General features: G+C 40.8%; 1 annotated feature.

The window, feature by feature from the left end:
- Positions 7,579 to 7,779: a silencer, noted in NCBI's record as "peak5317 fragment used in MPRA reporter construct". NCBI's record gives its function as "represses an SCP1 promoter by STARR-seq MPRAs in K562 erythroleukemia cells {active_cell/tissue: K562}" and the evidence as "EXISTENCE:reporter gene assay evidence [ECO:0000049][PMID:32103011]".

Raw genomic sequence — 16,410 nt, 5'->3', positions numbered from 1 at the left:
GTTATAGCAGAGGGTACTAGGGAACTTCCTTGTCATATTGGCTAAGACTGGCTGGTTTGGGAATTTGGCTACTCTCTCCGTCTGTTTATCCCTCCTTCTTTCCTGATTCCTGGGAAGACCAGACAAACAATTTCATTTCGGCTTAGTGACATGGAACTCTTTAGCATGAGTGACACCATTTGGTTTGGCCTACTTGGACCTAGTACAGAAGCACAGTCCAAATCAATGGCCTCCTATAAATGTTTTTTAAGAAAACCAAATAGGAATCAGTGAGGCACCCAGAGATTAGCAACACAGTAAACCACTACCACTCAAGGGTGGACACAGGATTGTCAGATCCCGAAAGCCAGCAAAACTGGAGCCACAGCAGCTTGTCCAGCAGGATATGGAGTCATGAAGGAGATAGAACCACTCCCGGAAATATTAGAGCAAGGGTGAGATACCCTGGCTCCTCTCTCCCACCCTCCAATCTCCCATCAGCCTCTTCCTAGCTGAACTCAGCTGGAAGCCTGAAAAATGCAGTTTACAAGGTCAGTTTATCCGTCATGCACAAAGAGGAGCAAGCAATGCATGTGAGAGCAAGAGGCTGGAAACTGACTGTCCCAGTCCCTAAAGCTCCACCTACCTAGACATAAAGGACATGCCTCAAAGCTCTCTTCCAACATGATCACTCCAAACATTGAACTAAAGTCAGAAATTGACCTTAGAACTAGACCAGGCCCCTTTTGACTCTAACATTCCATTGATTATTCATGTCTAAGACATGAACAAGTAGCCCTTGTTCATGTCGCCTATGCAAGAACACCTTTCATTTGGCATATTTACTGTCCTGTGCTGATCATATATTCCTTCGAAAAATATTTTCTTAGAATCTCCTAACCACAGTAATAGGTACTGTGGGAAAGAGAGAAGATGACAAGGGAGATTAGATAGTCCAAATAAATGACTAATGTAGGGTAATGGTTCACAAGATATCAAAAAGCAGTCGATGAGGAAAGCCAAATGAGCAGAATATACCATCAGAGGGCAAGCCTGGAAAAGAAGTTTTGGAAGAAGTGGGATTTTTGCAGGTTGTGGAGGATGCGTGGTATTTGGTTTGGCTGGGAATAGCAGTTCAGAAAGAAGTGCAGGCACCACGATTTGGAGGCAGAAATACACACATAATTCAACACCAGGAGCACACTATCATAAAGGGGAACAGGTTTATTTCTCAGATTCGGGGAATACTTGTTGAGATTCTTCTCTCTTTGGCCAAATGATTTTGATATGATAATCATGATGCCCTTTCAGTTGAGGTATTATTTGGTAGCATTTTGTTTATTAAAGCAAGCATGCCATAAGGCTTTCCAGTAAAATAGGGGCAGGTAGTATAAGACTGCAGTGGTTCTGGCTTTCCTTAATTGGGAAGAATTCAGTAATTTTTTAGACTTCCTGTTCTATTATTCAAATGTCACTGATTGACATGACATTTTAGAAAATTTTGCCCACAAATTCATCTGTTTTTACCTTATCTTATTTCCCCCTTCTTTAAAAGTCAACCTGCTTCCAGATATTAACATCTCCACAATACTTACGTTGTGCTAGGCTCTTGGCCAGTGGCAAGTACCTGGTTATATAATGATGATTTAAGTTCAATGTAACTAGAAGAACATGGCTATATTTACATCCTAGAGAAAACAGTCCTACATGGTGGTGAATATTTTGTGTCTTTTTTTTTGTTACACATTTACTTTATTCCTGATATCCAATACATAATCATTTAAGAATATTTACTGAGCAGATTAAATCAATGTGAAATATCGCCAAATCCAGTAGACACTATCCCGTATGTATTTTATGTGGCAATTCTGCAGCATTTGCACCTGTTGACCTTTCTCCTCTAAAGATGCTTCCCTCTTGGCTTCTGACACCATAGCCTAAGGGGTTCTCCTGTACTCTCTAGCCATTTGTTCTCAGCATTCTTCAAGGTCTCTCCTCTCTCTACTTGTATCTTAAATGGTGCACCCCAGGGATCTGGTCTTAGGGCTCTCCTCATCTTACCTTACACACCTCTCAAGGGACCCCACTCTCCACCCATGACTTCAACAACCCTTGCACACACTTATGACCCCCAAATTCGTAGCTCAAGCCCCAACTTTTCTCCTAAGATCCTTGCCAAAGTAGGCAACTGGTTTTGGGGTATCTTAAGCTGAATAGTAATTGAATGTCACAAGTAAGCTCTGTAGATTATACATCCTAAATATTTCTTTAACCCATCCATCTTCTTTATTCTCACCGTCATCATATTAATTAATTATCACTTTTTGCCTGCCTTTCCTGTTTCTTGTTTCTTGTTTCCCTCTCTCCAACCTTAATCTCTGTTAGTCTGACTGCTCCTAATCTTTGTGAAATTCAATGGTTATTTTATTCCTCTGAAATATTATGCTTTAAAACTTATGTAGCTGCCCCAAACTCCCCACCTCAACATTGCTGGGGTCTAGAGTAAGAGTAGAAATGGAGGTGCACATATTATGTACCTAAATATTTGAAATCTATAAATCCAGCTAACAAGCCATTAAATATGTTCTTTTTTTATCTTGAATAAACTTTCATAATGTGAAACGCTTGTTTCAGATTTAGCCTTCTCAGGCTCTGCAATGTTCTTTGCCAGTACTTGGCTGCACACAATGAGCCATCCCTAACCCAGAGTCCTCTTCCTTTATCCTCTCACCCCTGGCTTCATCCAGCACGTCAGGTGACTCATGTCCATATGTAGATATCCCGGTCTGCAATCTCACCCTCTGCCCACATTCCCCACAAACAGCTCTCCCTTCCCCACCCTTCAGGCCTAGCAGGTGCACACAAGTGTCCTCAGGAGGACAAGTCCAGGAAAGAGGCTGTGCAGAGTTAGAATTCCAGGATCCCAGGTATTCTGACCATGACCCAAAGGAAGGGTAACATGCTGTGGATGAATATATGCTCTGAGCCTTGCAAACTTCTCACCTCGTGTAGAAGGGACCTGATGAGACTCTGTAACATGATTTATACTTTATTTGAATTGTCTATTTCCTTATCTATCCCTCCCATTACACTGTGAGCTACTTAAAGGGACCGTGTCTTTCTTCTTTTTAATACTAGATCTTTTCTTTGGTAGTCTTCAAACTAGATTACACATATCTCTGGGGATACACAAAGATTGTCTAGGGTAAATGCAAGCACCTATATAATAATTTCAAGGGAATCAATTTTCAGTTGTTCAACTTTCATCTGCAGCATTTGCCCCTGCTTTTTCCTAAATCTTTTTCCTAAAATTAATCTGCCTGATAATTCACCAGTGTTTTTCTTTTTCTTGTGCCCTTCCACAGATGCCCTTCTCCTTTTTTACCATATAGAAACATACCCTTCTACCATCCCAAACCTTACTATTATGCATCATCCCAAGGAAAAGGTTAGTATATTACTCCAGGAAGTCAAGCAATGTTTGTCAATTTCCATAGTGTAAATATGCAATTTAAAGCTGCCACCATGCTATGGAATAATTTGTTTCCCCCTAAAATTCACCTGCTGAAGCCCTAACCCCCAGTGGCATTTGGAGATGGGGCCTTTGGTAAGCAATTAAGTTTAAATGAAGTCATAAAGGTGGGACCATCATGAAGGGATTAGTGCCCTTCTAAGAAAAATGAAGTCATAAAGGTGGGACCATCATGAAGGGATTAGTGCCCTTCTAAGAAAAGACACCATTGAGCTTGCTTCCACTCTCTGCCATGTGAGGACATAGCAAGAAGGCAGCTGTGTGCAAGTCAGGGAGAGAGCCCTCACCAGGAACCAAATCAATTCCTAGTCTGGTACTTCCCAGCCTCTGGAACTGTGATAAATAAATGTCTGTTGTTTAAGCCACTGATCTGTGGTGTTTTGTTACTGTAGCCCAAGAAGACTGAGACACTATGCTGGCTGATTTCAAGCTACCAATGTGATGTCACTTAACTCAGAGTTAAGAAGTCATAGCATAATTAACTCTTGCAAATTTACACACAACTGGCTATATTAAAACAAACATAAATAGGAGCGTTTTTAATAGCCATGTCAAGTACTCCATAACACAATGCAGGGGCAGAGATTCTTTGGAACTCCAGCTATATCACTTGTGAGCAAGCACTGCATCTTAATCAACTTACTTGAGCTTTCTGGATTTCCTCAACAGTATATTCTGCTTAATAGTATATATATTGCAGTATTATTTTGTGGAACATAAAAGGTTAAGAAGTGAAAATGCTTAGCACAATACCTGGCACAGGGAATCAGTAAATGTCAGTAGCCTTTCTCTTGGGTTTTCTCCCCTTTAAATGGCTGCCTATGAAGCTGGACTCAGCTAATTATGAAAGAAAAAGTCTACTGCTTCTTCCCCTCCTTCTCTGTCCTTCCCTTTCCTTCAGGTCCCTGTCCCAGTGTCCCACCCTGAGCATTAGGATCTCAGGCTCTTTCTGCAGGTAAGACTACCTGAAATAACATATCCATGGTATTGCCCAAAGGGCTCAGGCTTTGCATATTTCTATCTATCTCCTCCAAGCCAAAAGTCTGAAATCCTCTTACCATTTTTTCAGTGTAGCCATTTGGTTAAAAGATACTGTGTAAAATGAGATCATTCACTGTTATTTCTTAAGGCGGATAGGCATGGATGGAAACACACAAGGGAAACTAGATATGCACATGCCATAATTTTTTGACTGGCCTTGGTAGTCTTGTTGCACGAAAGGAAAGTACAAGACTAGACATTGGACTTCCCTTAAGTAAAGAAATAAGCTGGTCATGGCGAAATGTTATAATACAACATTGTTGTATTGATTTACTATTGAGCCACAGGTTGGCAAAATTAAAGAGCTATGTGTAAAAAGAGCTGATAACAGACTTTGAAATGGGTTATACATTCCCTAAATCATAAGGGTTTAAATAATAAGGTATTTCGGTACCCTGAAGTTATAACTGTTTATCTAGAAGGTGACACTTAGCCCTCTCAAATTGGAGAAAAACATTCCCTCCAGAACACTGTAATGGGAAAAAGACAAACACCAGCATCACTGCTTACCAGCCATAAAACTCAGACAAGCTATTTAATATCTCTAAAGCCTTAATTTTCTATTATAAATAATAATATATAAAAGAAAGATAATAGTACTTACAAATAAAAGCTAATGTTTAGCAGGTGTCGGGCACTATTGTAAGGACTTCGTATGCATTCAATAACTTATCCTCCTGAGAATTCAGTGAGGTAGGTGACTATTACCAACTCGTTTTGTAGATGGAGAAACAGACATTCAGCAACTTTATCAAGATCACACCAGTGTTCTTGATAAAGACTTAAGCAACTTTATCAAGATCACACCAGTGTTAAGCAACAGAGCCAAGATTTTAACACAACCTCCAGAAACAAATTTATTATTAAGCTATATTGCCTCTCCTAAGCCTATTAAGGTATTCTAAATGATAAAATGAGAAAACCCATAGCAATTTTTAGCAACATGCCCATAGCCCTATTCTCCAGGGTCTCCAGTCTGTACTCCCAGGGACATCATTCATGCTGTGTTCTCAGGAGTGCAACACAGACAGAAAGGACATCCAGAATGGTGCTGTGCAAAGCAGCTACCCATACTGAGTAATGATGATTTAATCAGATTACATAAGCCTGTCATTGTCTTTGCTGAAATGTCATCCCTCCACAACAAGGCATGTTATACATATAAATCACCCAGAAGACATTTCTTTTTCTTTTTTTTTTTTTTTTTTTTTTTGAGACAGAGTCTTGCTCTGTCACTCAGGCTGGAGTGCAGTGGTGTGATCCTGGCTCACTGCAACCTCCACCTCCTGGGTTCAAGCAATTCTCATGTCTCAGCCTCCCGAGTAGCTGGGACTACAGGCACCTATCACCATGCCCGGCTAATTTTTGTATTTTTAGTAGAGACAAGGTTTCACCATATTGATCAGGCTGGTCTCAAACTCCTGACCTCAGGTGATCCACCTGCCTCGGCCTTCCAAAGTGCTGGGATTACAGGCGTGAGCCACTGCGCCCAGCCCAGAACTTTTAAGAACATATGCAACTGGAGTAGGAAAGGTGGACTCCAGAAGGGACACCAAAGTGCCAGACACCGTGTCATCCTGAGGTGGTCAAATAGTATCCTGCCTCAGGTCATCATAGTGAGCTTAAAGGAGCTCTGGAGGATATTTTACATGATAATCATGATCCTCTCCATCTACAGAATGCCGCATGAGCTACTAATTGGAGGAAGTTAACAGTTTCAACATTAGATCATGCTACATTCTTTTGGATGACATTAAATCTTCGTGAAGCTGGATGTTCCACAAATACTGTGATAAAAAAGCAAGTGGTGCTGGAAAATCAATGTAGAACAGGAAGTGAGAGCAGCAATGTCCAATCTGATTTTGTCTGAGAAATTTATCAGTGCCCAATAGACACATACCTCACATTGGTAAGAAACTGTGGTTAAGAATGAAACGTATATTTTTAATTTCAGTGCACATATATTATCTTTTAAAGAAGCCACTAAGTTGTTAGGACAAAAATATGTATTAAGTTACATGGACCTAACTACTTAATAAATGGAACTCTTGGGTACTTCTTTTGGCTTGAGACCCTGAGGGCTTCATGAACTGAGAACATCTGGGAACATCTGCTGCATCCCTTTATGTGCATTATCTCTTGTAATCCTTGCAGCAACCTAACGGAGCAGGTACTGTTCATGTCTATAATTTACAAATAAGGGAACTGAGGACTCCGGCAGTAACAGGGCTAAGCAAAGATCACAAAATGCATCTGTTGTTCAAGCACAGCCTTCTGACTCTGAAGCCACCACTCTTTAATGATTATACCATAGGCCAAATAACAGATACTTTTGTCCAGGTAGACTTTCGGACAAAGAAGGTTACTTCCTCACAGAGTTGAATCTGACCCCAACATATATCAGCATATGTTTTCCTACCATCTTGTCAAAGGACATATTAGCTCAGGCTCTCAAAGCCATTTGTTGAAATAACCACTTTGCAGAAATCACAGGTTCTAAAGCTCCTGAAAACTGTGTGTGCTCTAGATGAAAGTCACCTTGCATCCAAGCGAACAAAGAAAATCAAAGACTTTCTGAATTGGCGGCTTGGGTTCATCAACTCTATCAACTTGCTTAACAAACATTACCAAGTACACAGGCTCCTGTCTGAAGGAGTCTCTATGGATATCCCAGATAAAATAGCTGAATTTGGTAAACTGTTCCAAAAGCAACATGACCTATCCATTTTTGACATGTCTGTAAAATCTGAAATACAGTGAAGCTATTACAAGCTAACACAGAATGGGAGCTAAAGCTACAAATAATCTCTAGAAAGCTAACAGCTGAAGCAGTGGCCAGCAACCTGTGGGGCATATGATTTTGAACTGGGATTCTGCCAGTCTTAGGGAGCTGTAGATAGATAGACTTAGTTGAAGGTCCTTTAGTGGTCTTTGGATAAAATGAGTCCTTGTTTCTCTGTCTGAGCCCCTGCAGTTACAGGTTCCTCCAGAGGAAGCAAACATAGTTATAACTCTGAAGAGCAGACCATTGACAAATTGACATCACTCTATTTATTTCTACCTCTATCATCCTTGTTTGACATCAGCTTCTATCTCAACCCAACATGCCACAGTCCTTCTTGGAAAATCTTCCAAGAAAATATACTTCTTGGAAAAAATTATATTTTTTTCTTCTTGGAAAATATATATATTTGTTTCTCTCTCTCTCTCCCTCTCTCTCTCTCTCTATACACACACACACACACACACACACACACACACACACACATATATATGTGTGTGTGTGCAAATATGGCAAATCATTCTCCAAATGAACTACAAAGCTTTCAGATAGATAGACGTTGATTTTAAGGTGTTGGCACTTGAAATTGTGGAGGCTTGGTGAGTCCAAAATCTGATGGGCAGCCCAAAACACTAGAGACTTAGGAAACAGTTGCAATTTGAGTCCAAAGGCAGTCTTCCAGGGAATTCCCTCTTTCTTTGGAAGCGGTAAAGGAGGTTAGCCTTTTATTTATTCAGACCTTCAGCTAATAGAATGAGGCCCATCCACATCATGGACAGCAATCTGCTTTACTCAAAGCCCACAAATTGAAATGCAAATCTCATCCAAAAATGCTCTCGAAACATCCAGAATAATATTTGACAAGATATCTGGTCACTGAGGCCCAGATAAGTTGACACATAAAATCAATCATCACAACTACTACAGACTAGAAGAGACAAGAGCAAATTAGTAACTGTTAGTAGATTCTGGGAACTTCAGGGAAGAGCCTACGAAGAAGTTCTGAGAACAGATCCATGCATAGCCCCTGCCTAAGACTATACTCCCTGGCTAATACACTAGTTGTGGGTGAGAACGTGAGGGAGATTGTTAACGATGTCAGGAGGCAGGCTGCTGACTTTAAATAAATTCATTAGAGAAATGTACAGCCGAAGGCATCAGCACATCACACACCTCTTGTGCTCCACTTCCAAGTCCTCCTGATCCGCTCCATCTCTTATTCCAGCTGCTGCTATGGCAACTAGGGCAGCACAGTCTGGCCAGATTCAACAAGGACAAGAGAACAGAGCCTCTGCTTGGGCCTGCATGGCATACCTCTTCCTCCTATCTGGAATTTCTGTGGCATCCCAGGGCGGGCTACTCAGAAAAACATACTTGGAACTCACATGTGTACACATAAGGAATGAGAGAAAAATTAATGCCCTTGGAGCCAGCCTTGGCCAGTGGAGAATGCGCTCCCAGACACATTTCATAAGTGTCCCCAGAAGGAAGAGTCACCTGTAACAGTGGCCAAAATTTTCTCCTGTGTTATTTCACTTCCTCCCTTGCATTCCTGCTCCCTAGGATTGTGTTCCCAAGTAAACCACCTGCCCTGCCATTCTTAATTTCTGGCTCTGTTCTTACATCCAAATCAGAGAGTGAAAAAAATCTTTCCATTTGCAAGGGAGGATTTAAGTTAAGCATTATAGTCTATTGCTTATCAAATAATAGGTTGAACATTATTTTATCTTATGGCACAAAACTGTATTTGGACAAAGAGTACATGGGAAGCTGGTGAGACTCAAATATAAATAAGTTTTAAAAATCTGTTGTTTGTAATCACACCACTGCACTCCAGCCTGGGTGGCAGAGTGAGACTCTCAAAAAAAAAATCAATTGTTTCTGAAATACATTGAACTACATTGGCCTCTTCTCACTCTTTATCTGGCCAAATGGCTCCCTTGATTTAAGAGATTTCCAGGAACTCAGAGATGTTCCTAATGATTAATTGATTGCTGAAAGACATATTAGAAAGCATATTCTTTATTTCCACAAATCCCCACCGAAGGCTATAATTATAATTATTTATTAAAGATCCAGAAAAGTAGATTTTAAAATACATTTTAGAGATTAGGAAAATAGATAGCAAATAGCCTAAAATATAAAAACTATTGATAGAGTCAGAGATGGCCAAGTAATATTCACTCATTCATTTATTCACTCCTTAATTCAATATTGCACCAGGTACAATGCAAGCAGAGGGGGGAAGACATGGGACTCTCCCAGGAACCTCGGAAATAGCTGAAAGGTTCCCAAGTTTAGCATGATTCTTGTGGAGCTGCCAATCACAAAACACTATTCTCTGACCACAGGGAGATGGTTAGGTGACACAGCCGGACCATTCTCCTGGCCAAAGAATTGGTTCAGAGGCAGGCATGTGACAAGTTGACCAATCAGAGAATCTGCTCAGGGTTTTCCAGGTTGAAGGGGTCTTGACTTTTGTGTCACAGAGTTAAAAGACCTTCTTCCTTGCCTTGTGAAAAAAATTTGCTGGCAAGAGGAGAAAATGAACATGAACAAGACAAGCAAGAATAAGAAAGAAACGGAGTTTTTTCAAAATGTTTAAATATCTGCGCCTTCTAAGCCTGAAGCCTGCTACTCCAATTCTTTTCAGTTGCAAGTTCAAAAATCCATGTTACACTTATGATAAAATTGGTTTTTTATTAATTCCAATTAAAAGGAAACTTGCAGTATCCTATGGAAAAAATTAACTGCCATGAGGAACATTTTTTCTCTTCTTCTATGAGGGGAGGTATTTTCCAAATACTCCTGGCCGCCCTGTCTTTTTTCACTTCATCTCAGAGGACATAGACTAACTCATCTTATCTGTAAATTTGAGAAGAATAAACAGAGCATGCTCAGTTTAGCTACTTTCTTTTGTTCTCTTGAGAGCAAGCTTCCTGCAGTGGGGGGAATTTCCCAGCCTCTCTGCTGCAAGTTTCACCCGAGTAGGCCTTCCTCAGTCAAGGCCAGCCTGGTCCAGGACTGCCATGACTCCACTGGGGGATAGAGGATGTTTAATCTCATTAATTCTGGGATTCAGTAATAGTAGGATTACTTTCCTACCAAGAGAACCATATCCTCCAATCTACCCTTTGAAATAATAATAATAACAATAATAGCTAATACATACTGCTTACTACACACCAGGCATTTTTTTCTCCTCTTGGAACTTTAAGTGCTTTACATATAAATGTATTTAATCCTTACAGCGATCAGTTGTAGACATACTCTTGTGACCCTCATTTTACATTGAAGAAAATGAAACACAGAGAGTGGAAGTAATTTTCCCTAAGATGACACAGCCGGGAAGCAGCATGCCTGAGATTCAAATGTAGTCCGTGTGGTCCTAGAGTCCAGGCTCTAACCACTATTCCATGTATCACATGCGCTAAAGGAGTTACACTTGATATACTAGTTAACCTTCCATTTGCCTTCCTCTTTTATCTTTAATCTCAGTTTGTTCAAAGGATACTCTTTACAGGGCCCTCTTAAAATTCCCAACGCCCATCTAATCAAAGGCTCAGGGTAATTCCTCCATTGAAGCTATACCTGAAGAAAAGGTTATACTACCTAATACTATAATTCAGCAAATACTAATCAGTTTCCATTTAATCTATATCATATTTATAGTATGGGAGACCTACACTAGCCAGGAAAATTCGACTTCATAGGCCACAAATTATTTTTCTTGATCAACAAAAAAAGTCAGCTCTGCAGTTTTCCTTAGTGGGCTTTAAAAGTTTCACTGCTGATTTTTATGGTGCCTGTCATAAAGTTTTGAAGACTTTAACATACACAGTGTGATGTTACGCATGCACCAGTTAGTCGAGCTTCAATCTGAAGCAGTCAGTTGCCCTAAGGGAGCCTGGACAGCTTAGGGACCATCAGTTAGGAATATAGAGAAAGGCTACCACCAGCCTCTCCAGTCTCCCTCAGGGCAAAATGGGCATTTTCTTTAGTCCTCAAATGAATCTGTAACTTGTAAAGAAGTTTTAAGTCCTGAAAGTACAAATATGAAGAAGTTAGGGCAGATTTCCTTCCCTCAGGCTGGAAAGACACATAACTCACTATATAGGCTGGTCTTCCCTCAGAGACTTGACTGAATGCCTGTTGAAGAGGATTGCCTTATCATGTGATCTTTTCCTAAGGCCAGAACCTGAAACATCACAGAGTGCCAATTGAAGGAACAGCCGATAAATTCTCTAATTCAACACTGTGTTCAAATGGAACTCCTGCAGATCTATGACTCTCCTCACCCCACTAGTGACACCTTTATGTTTCATTTAATAACAAACACCAGGAGAGGAGGTATGTGACAATCCTCAAAGTGTAGTTAGTTGGGCCCTTGATCATTGCCTTACCTGCAAGACTGTGAGGCAAAAGCAGAGTCACAATATTCCTAGGAAATTTCTTTGAACTAATAGTGTGAGGAAGGGAGAATAACAATCCCCCCAGATGCGTCCACACCCTGATCCCCAGAACCTGTGAGTATGTGAGGTTGCATGGCATAGAGGGACTGAAGGCTGCAGATGGAATTAAGGTTGTTAATCCAATGACCTTGTATTCTGAGTTATCCAAGTGGACCCAATGTAATCCCAGGGGTCCTTATAAGTGGAAGAGGGAGACGAAAGAGGGAGAACCAGAGATATGGCAATGTGAGGACTCAGCCTGTTGCCAGCTTTGAAGATGGAGGAATAGGGCCATGAATCAAGGGGCAAAGGCAGTGTCTAGAAGCTGAAAAACACATAAAAACAGATTTCCCCTAGGGTCTCCAGAAGGAACAGAGCCCTGCTATGATTTTAGTCATGTGAGACCCATTTTAGACTTCTGACCTCAAGAACTGTAAGGTAATAAGTTTATGTTTTTCTAAGCCACTACATTTGTGACAATTTGTAACTGCAGGACTATAATACTCATATACAGGGTAAAAAGAAATGAGGAAACATGAAATGCTGGTTCTTCTCCACCCACCCCCAACAGCCATGCTCTACATTTTCTGCACTGTTATGTACAGGGAGTGGAGGTGGCTGACCACAAGGACTGCACACCCAGGCTCCCTTGCCTTCTGGCTTCTGGGATATCTGACAGTGAGTAGAGAAAGGTGCCAGGGTATTTCTTCCCTGAGTCTCTTTCGACTTTGACACTGTGATCCTTTCAGGGACTGCACCCCCAACTAAGACTGCAGTTCCTGCTGGGCAGCCTTTGTCCACAATGCAGCCACCAGGCTCTAGTCACACTCCCTCCTTTTCATGCCCCTCAGGCTTGGAGTTGGTGTTGACTTCATGTGGAGCTAGACTCAAGTAGCCAAATATATTGTGTGTCTGTGTATATTGTCTGTGTATATCTCTGGGGGAAAAAAATAAAAGCTCTATGTGAAATTCTCTATGAAATTCTCTTTAGTTAAATCTCTTTTTTAGGACATTGTCAGAACCCTGATGTATATGTGTAAGGTAATATATTTCCTCTAGGCTATTGGCTTATTTCCTTAGAGGCTTCTGTTAATAATATTCTTGACTTTCTAACAAGACTACAGGTGACTCAAAGCCCAGACCATCTATTTCTTTGTGATTCCCTATAGCATCAGCACAGGAGTAAAATGCCCTTGTATTTAATAAATGTTGAATTAACTCACAATATGGTTAAAAGTCAAGTAAAATATTCAAATGGTAAACTGGAAAAACTTTAGAAACAGGGTTGTTTTCTATCCAAGATGACAGGACATTCTGAGGCAGTGCCAGACACAGTCAGCCCCTCATATTCACGGGTTCCACATCTGTGGACACAGCCAACCATAGGAGGAAAATATTTGGAAAAAAAATTGTGTCTGTACTGAACAGGTATAGATGTTTTTTTCTTGTCATTATTCCCTAAATGTTACAATATAACAACTATTTACATAACATTTATATTATATTAGGTATTGTAAGTAATCCAGAAATGATTTAATGTATATGGGAGGATGTGCATAGGTTATATGCAAACACTACACCATTTTATATCAGGGACTTAAGCATCTGTGGATTCGGGTATCCAAGGAAGGTCCTGGAACCAATGATCCATGGATACTGATGGACAACTGTATATATAAATGGTCTAAGTATGTGCAGAATCAAGCACCACAAAATGAATATGTCATAGAAGTAATGTGAGAAGCGGAAGGTATGAGCCACAACCATTTCTTCTTTAACAATGTTTATGGCAGGAAGGAGTATTAATAAGACTAAAGATAACTCTATGATGAAAGGGTCATTCACTTGCATGGCCCCTTTCAGGGCCCTGAGAGAAATCTAGAAATTTGTTCATATAGTCACACATATTCCATTCACAAAAGTAAGATATGTTAATGGCAATCAGTAAAGACCATTGTCTTAACTTGGTGTAGTCCAGTGTAGAGTGTCAGAGCCCAAGCAGGAAAAAGAGGGCATCCCAGGGGAGAAGTGGCCTAGTAAGGGTGTCACAGCACAAGTAGGGTAGAAGGACATCCATGTGGGAGTGGGACCAGGCACAGAGAACCAGAGGCTGGGAGAGATGAAAAGGTGTCCACACAAGAGGATTGCCAACTGTGAGGGGTTGGAGCCCCAGCAGGGTGAGAAGGGTGATGGAGGGTGGGAGGAGCAGCAGCAGTAGAAGACAGGTTACACACAGAGAAATCAATTACTTCCTGTATTAATCAGAACCAGCAGGAGAAACACACACATACACACACATATATGTATACATGTGTATATGGCGGAAGAGATGCACCAGAGAGAGATATTTGTTCTAAGAAACTGGCTGATGTGATTGTAGTAACCTGACAGGGCCTTCCTGCCAGCTGTACAGACAAAATCAGTTCACTAAGAACACAGTATTGCAGTAAAGAAAGAGTTTAATTAACACAAGGCTGGCCACATGGGAAAATTGGAGTTATCACTCAAATCAGGCTCCCTGAAGGCTCAGAGGTTCGGGTTTTTCAAGGATAGTTTGGTGGCACGGGGACTAGGAAATAGGTGCTACTGATTGGTTGGGGATGTAATCACAGGGGTGTGGAAAACGGTCTTTGTGCACTGAGTCTGCCTCTGAGTAGGGGGCCACCATCATGTGCCCTGGTGGGGTTAGTCAATTACCAGAATGCAAAAGATTGAAAAACATCTCAAAAGACCAATCTTAGGTTCTACAATAGTGATACTATCTATATGAACAATTGGAGAAGTCACAAATCTTATAACCTCTGGAACAATGACTGGTCATTGTTTAACTGTGCCTATATCTTAGCAGAATTCAGGTGTCTCTCATAATCCTAAACTTGTGTACTTTCATTAGTTTTACAAAGGCAGTTTAGTTTTGGGAAGGGCTCTTATTAACCTTGCTTTAAACTATAAACTAAATTCCTCCCATGGTTAGCCTGGCCTACTCCCAGGAATGAGTGAGGACAGCCAGCCATGTTAGATTTCTCTCACTGTCATAATCTTTTCAAAGGTAGTTTCATGATGATGGAGGCTGAGTCCCACTATCTACCAATTGCAAGCTGGAGACCCAGAGAAGCCAGTGATGTAATTCAGTCTGAGTCTGAAGACCTGAGGACCAAAGGAGCTGATGCTGTAAATCCCAGGCCATGAGCTGGAGAACATGAGATAAGATGTTCCAGCTCAAGCAGTGAGGCAGGAAATTAAGCAGTGAATTACTCCTTACTCTGCCTTTTGTTCTATTCAGGTCCTCAAGGACTGAGTGATGCTCAGCCACATTGAGGAGGGCAATCTACTTTATTGAGTCCATTGATTCAAATGTTAAATTCATTTGGAAACAATCCTATAGACACACCACAAGCAAAATTAAATCAAGGCACCCTGTGGTGCTGTCAAACTGACATATAAAATAAACCATCACACTTAGCAAATAAGTAATTATATTAAAGAAAATATAAGCTACTTTTGTTACTGTCAGAGACCCATACAAAAATGTTCAGGAAGGGCATCTTTGCTTATCATAGCTAAGACAGATTATGTATTGCTTAAATAGCCACACCTCTATAACTTCCATTCCCACTAAGAAGTAAAGTCTATTTCTCCTTTCCTTGATCCTGGGCAGGACTCTATGACCACTTTGACAAAGAAAATGCTCTGGAAATGCTGGAAGTGCTGCTGTGACTTCTGAGGAGAGGTCACAGAAGGCAGAATGGCTTGTGATTGGCTGTCTTTCTTTTTTGGGATATTAGCACTTGAAACCCAGCCACTGTGCTGTAGGGAACCAAAGCCACTTAAAGAGGTTGTTTGAATTGCCTGGCCAACAACTCCAGCCAAAGTCTCAGCTAACTGAAAGCATCAACCAACAGACATATGAATGTGTGAGCCTTCAGAAGACTCCAAGTCCGAGACTTGGAGACATTCCAGCCAATGCTGAATGGAGCAGAGATAAGCCATCCCCACTAAGCCCTGCCCCAGTTGCGGATTCATGAGCAACATAAATGATATTTTAAATCACTTTTATGCAGCCATACATAGTAACTGTAACAATACTAAAAACAAGAAAACAGCCCAAATAATCATCAGCAAGAAAACGGATAAACATTAAATGTAAATGGACTAAATGCTCCAATTAAAAGACACAGACTGGCAAACTGGATAAAGAGTCAAGACCCATCAGTATGCTGTATTCAGGAAACCCATCTCACGTGCAGAGACACATATAGGCTCAAAATAAAAGGATGGAGGAAGATCTACCAAGCAAATGGAAAACAAAAAAAGGCAGGGGTTGCAATCCTAGTCTCTGATAAAACAGACTTTAAACCAACAAAGATCAAAAGAGACAAAGAAGGCCATTACGTAATGGTAAAGGGATCAATTCAACAAGAAGAGCTAACTATCCTAAATATATATGCACCCAATACAGGAGCACCCAGATTCATAAAGCAAGTCCTGAGTGACCTACAAACAGACTTAGACTCCCACACATTAATAATGGGAGACTTTAACACCCCACTGTCAACATTAGACAGATCAACAAGACAGAAAGTTAACAAGGATACCCAGGAATTGAACTCAGCTCTGCACCAAGT

Source organism: Homo sapiens, chromosome 5 (assembly GCF_000001405.40).
Source record: "Homo sapiens chromosome 5, GRCh38.p14 Primary Assembly".
Lineage (NCBI taxonomy): Eukaryota > Metazoa > Chordata > Mammalia > Primates > Hominidae > Homo > Homo sapiens.
The sequence above is the reverse complement of the archived record's forward strand: the minus strand, read 5'-3'. Positions and strand labels throughout refer to the sequence as shown.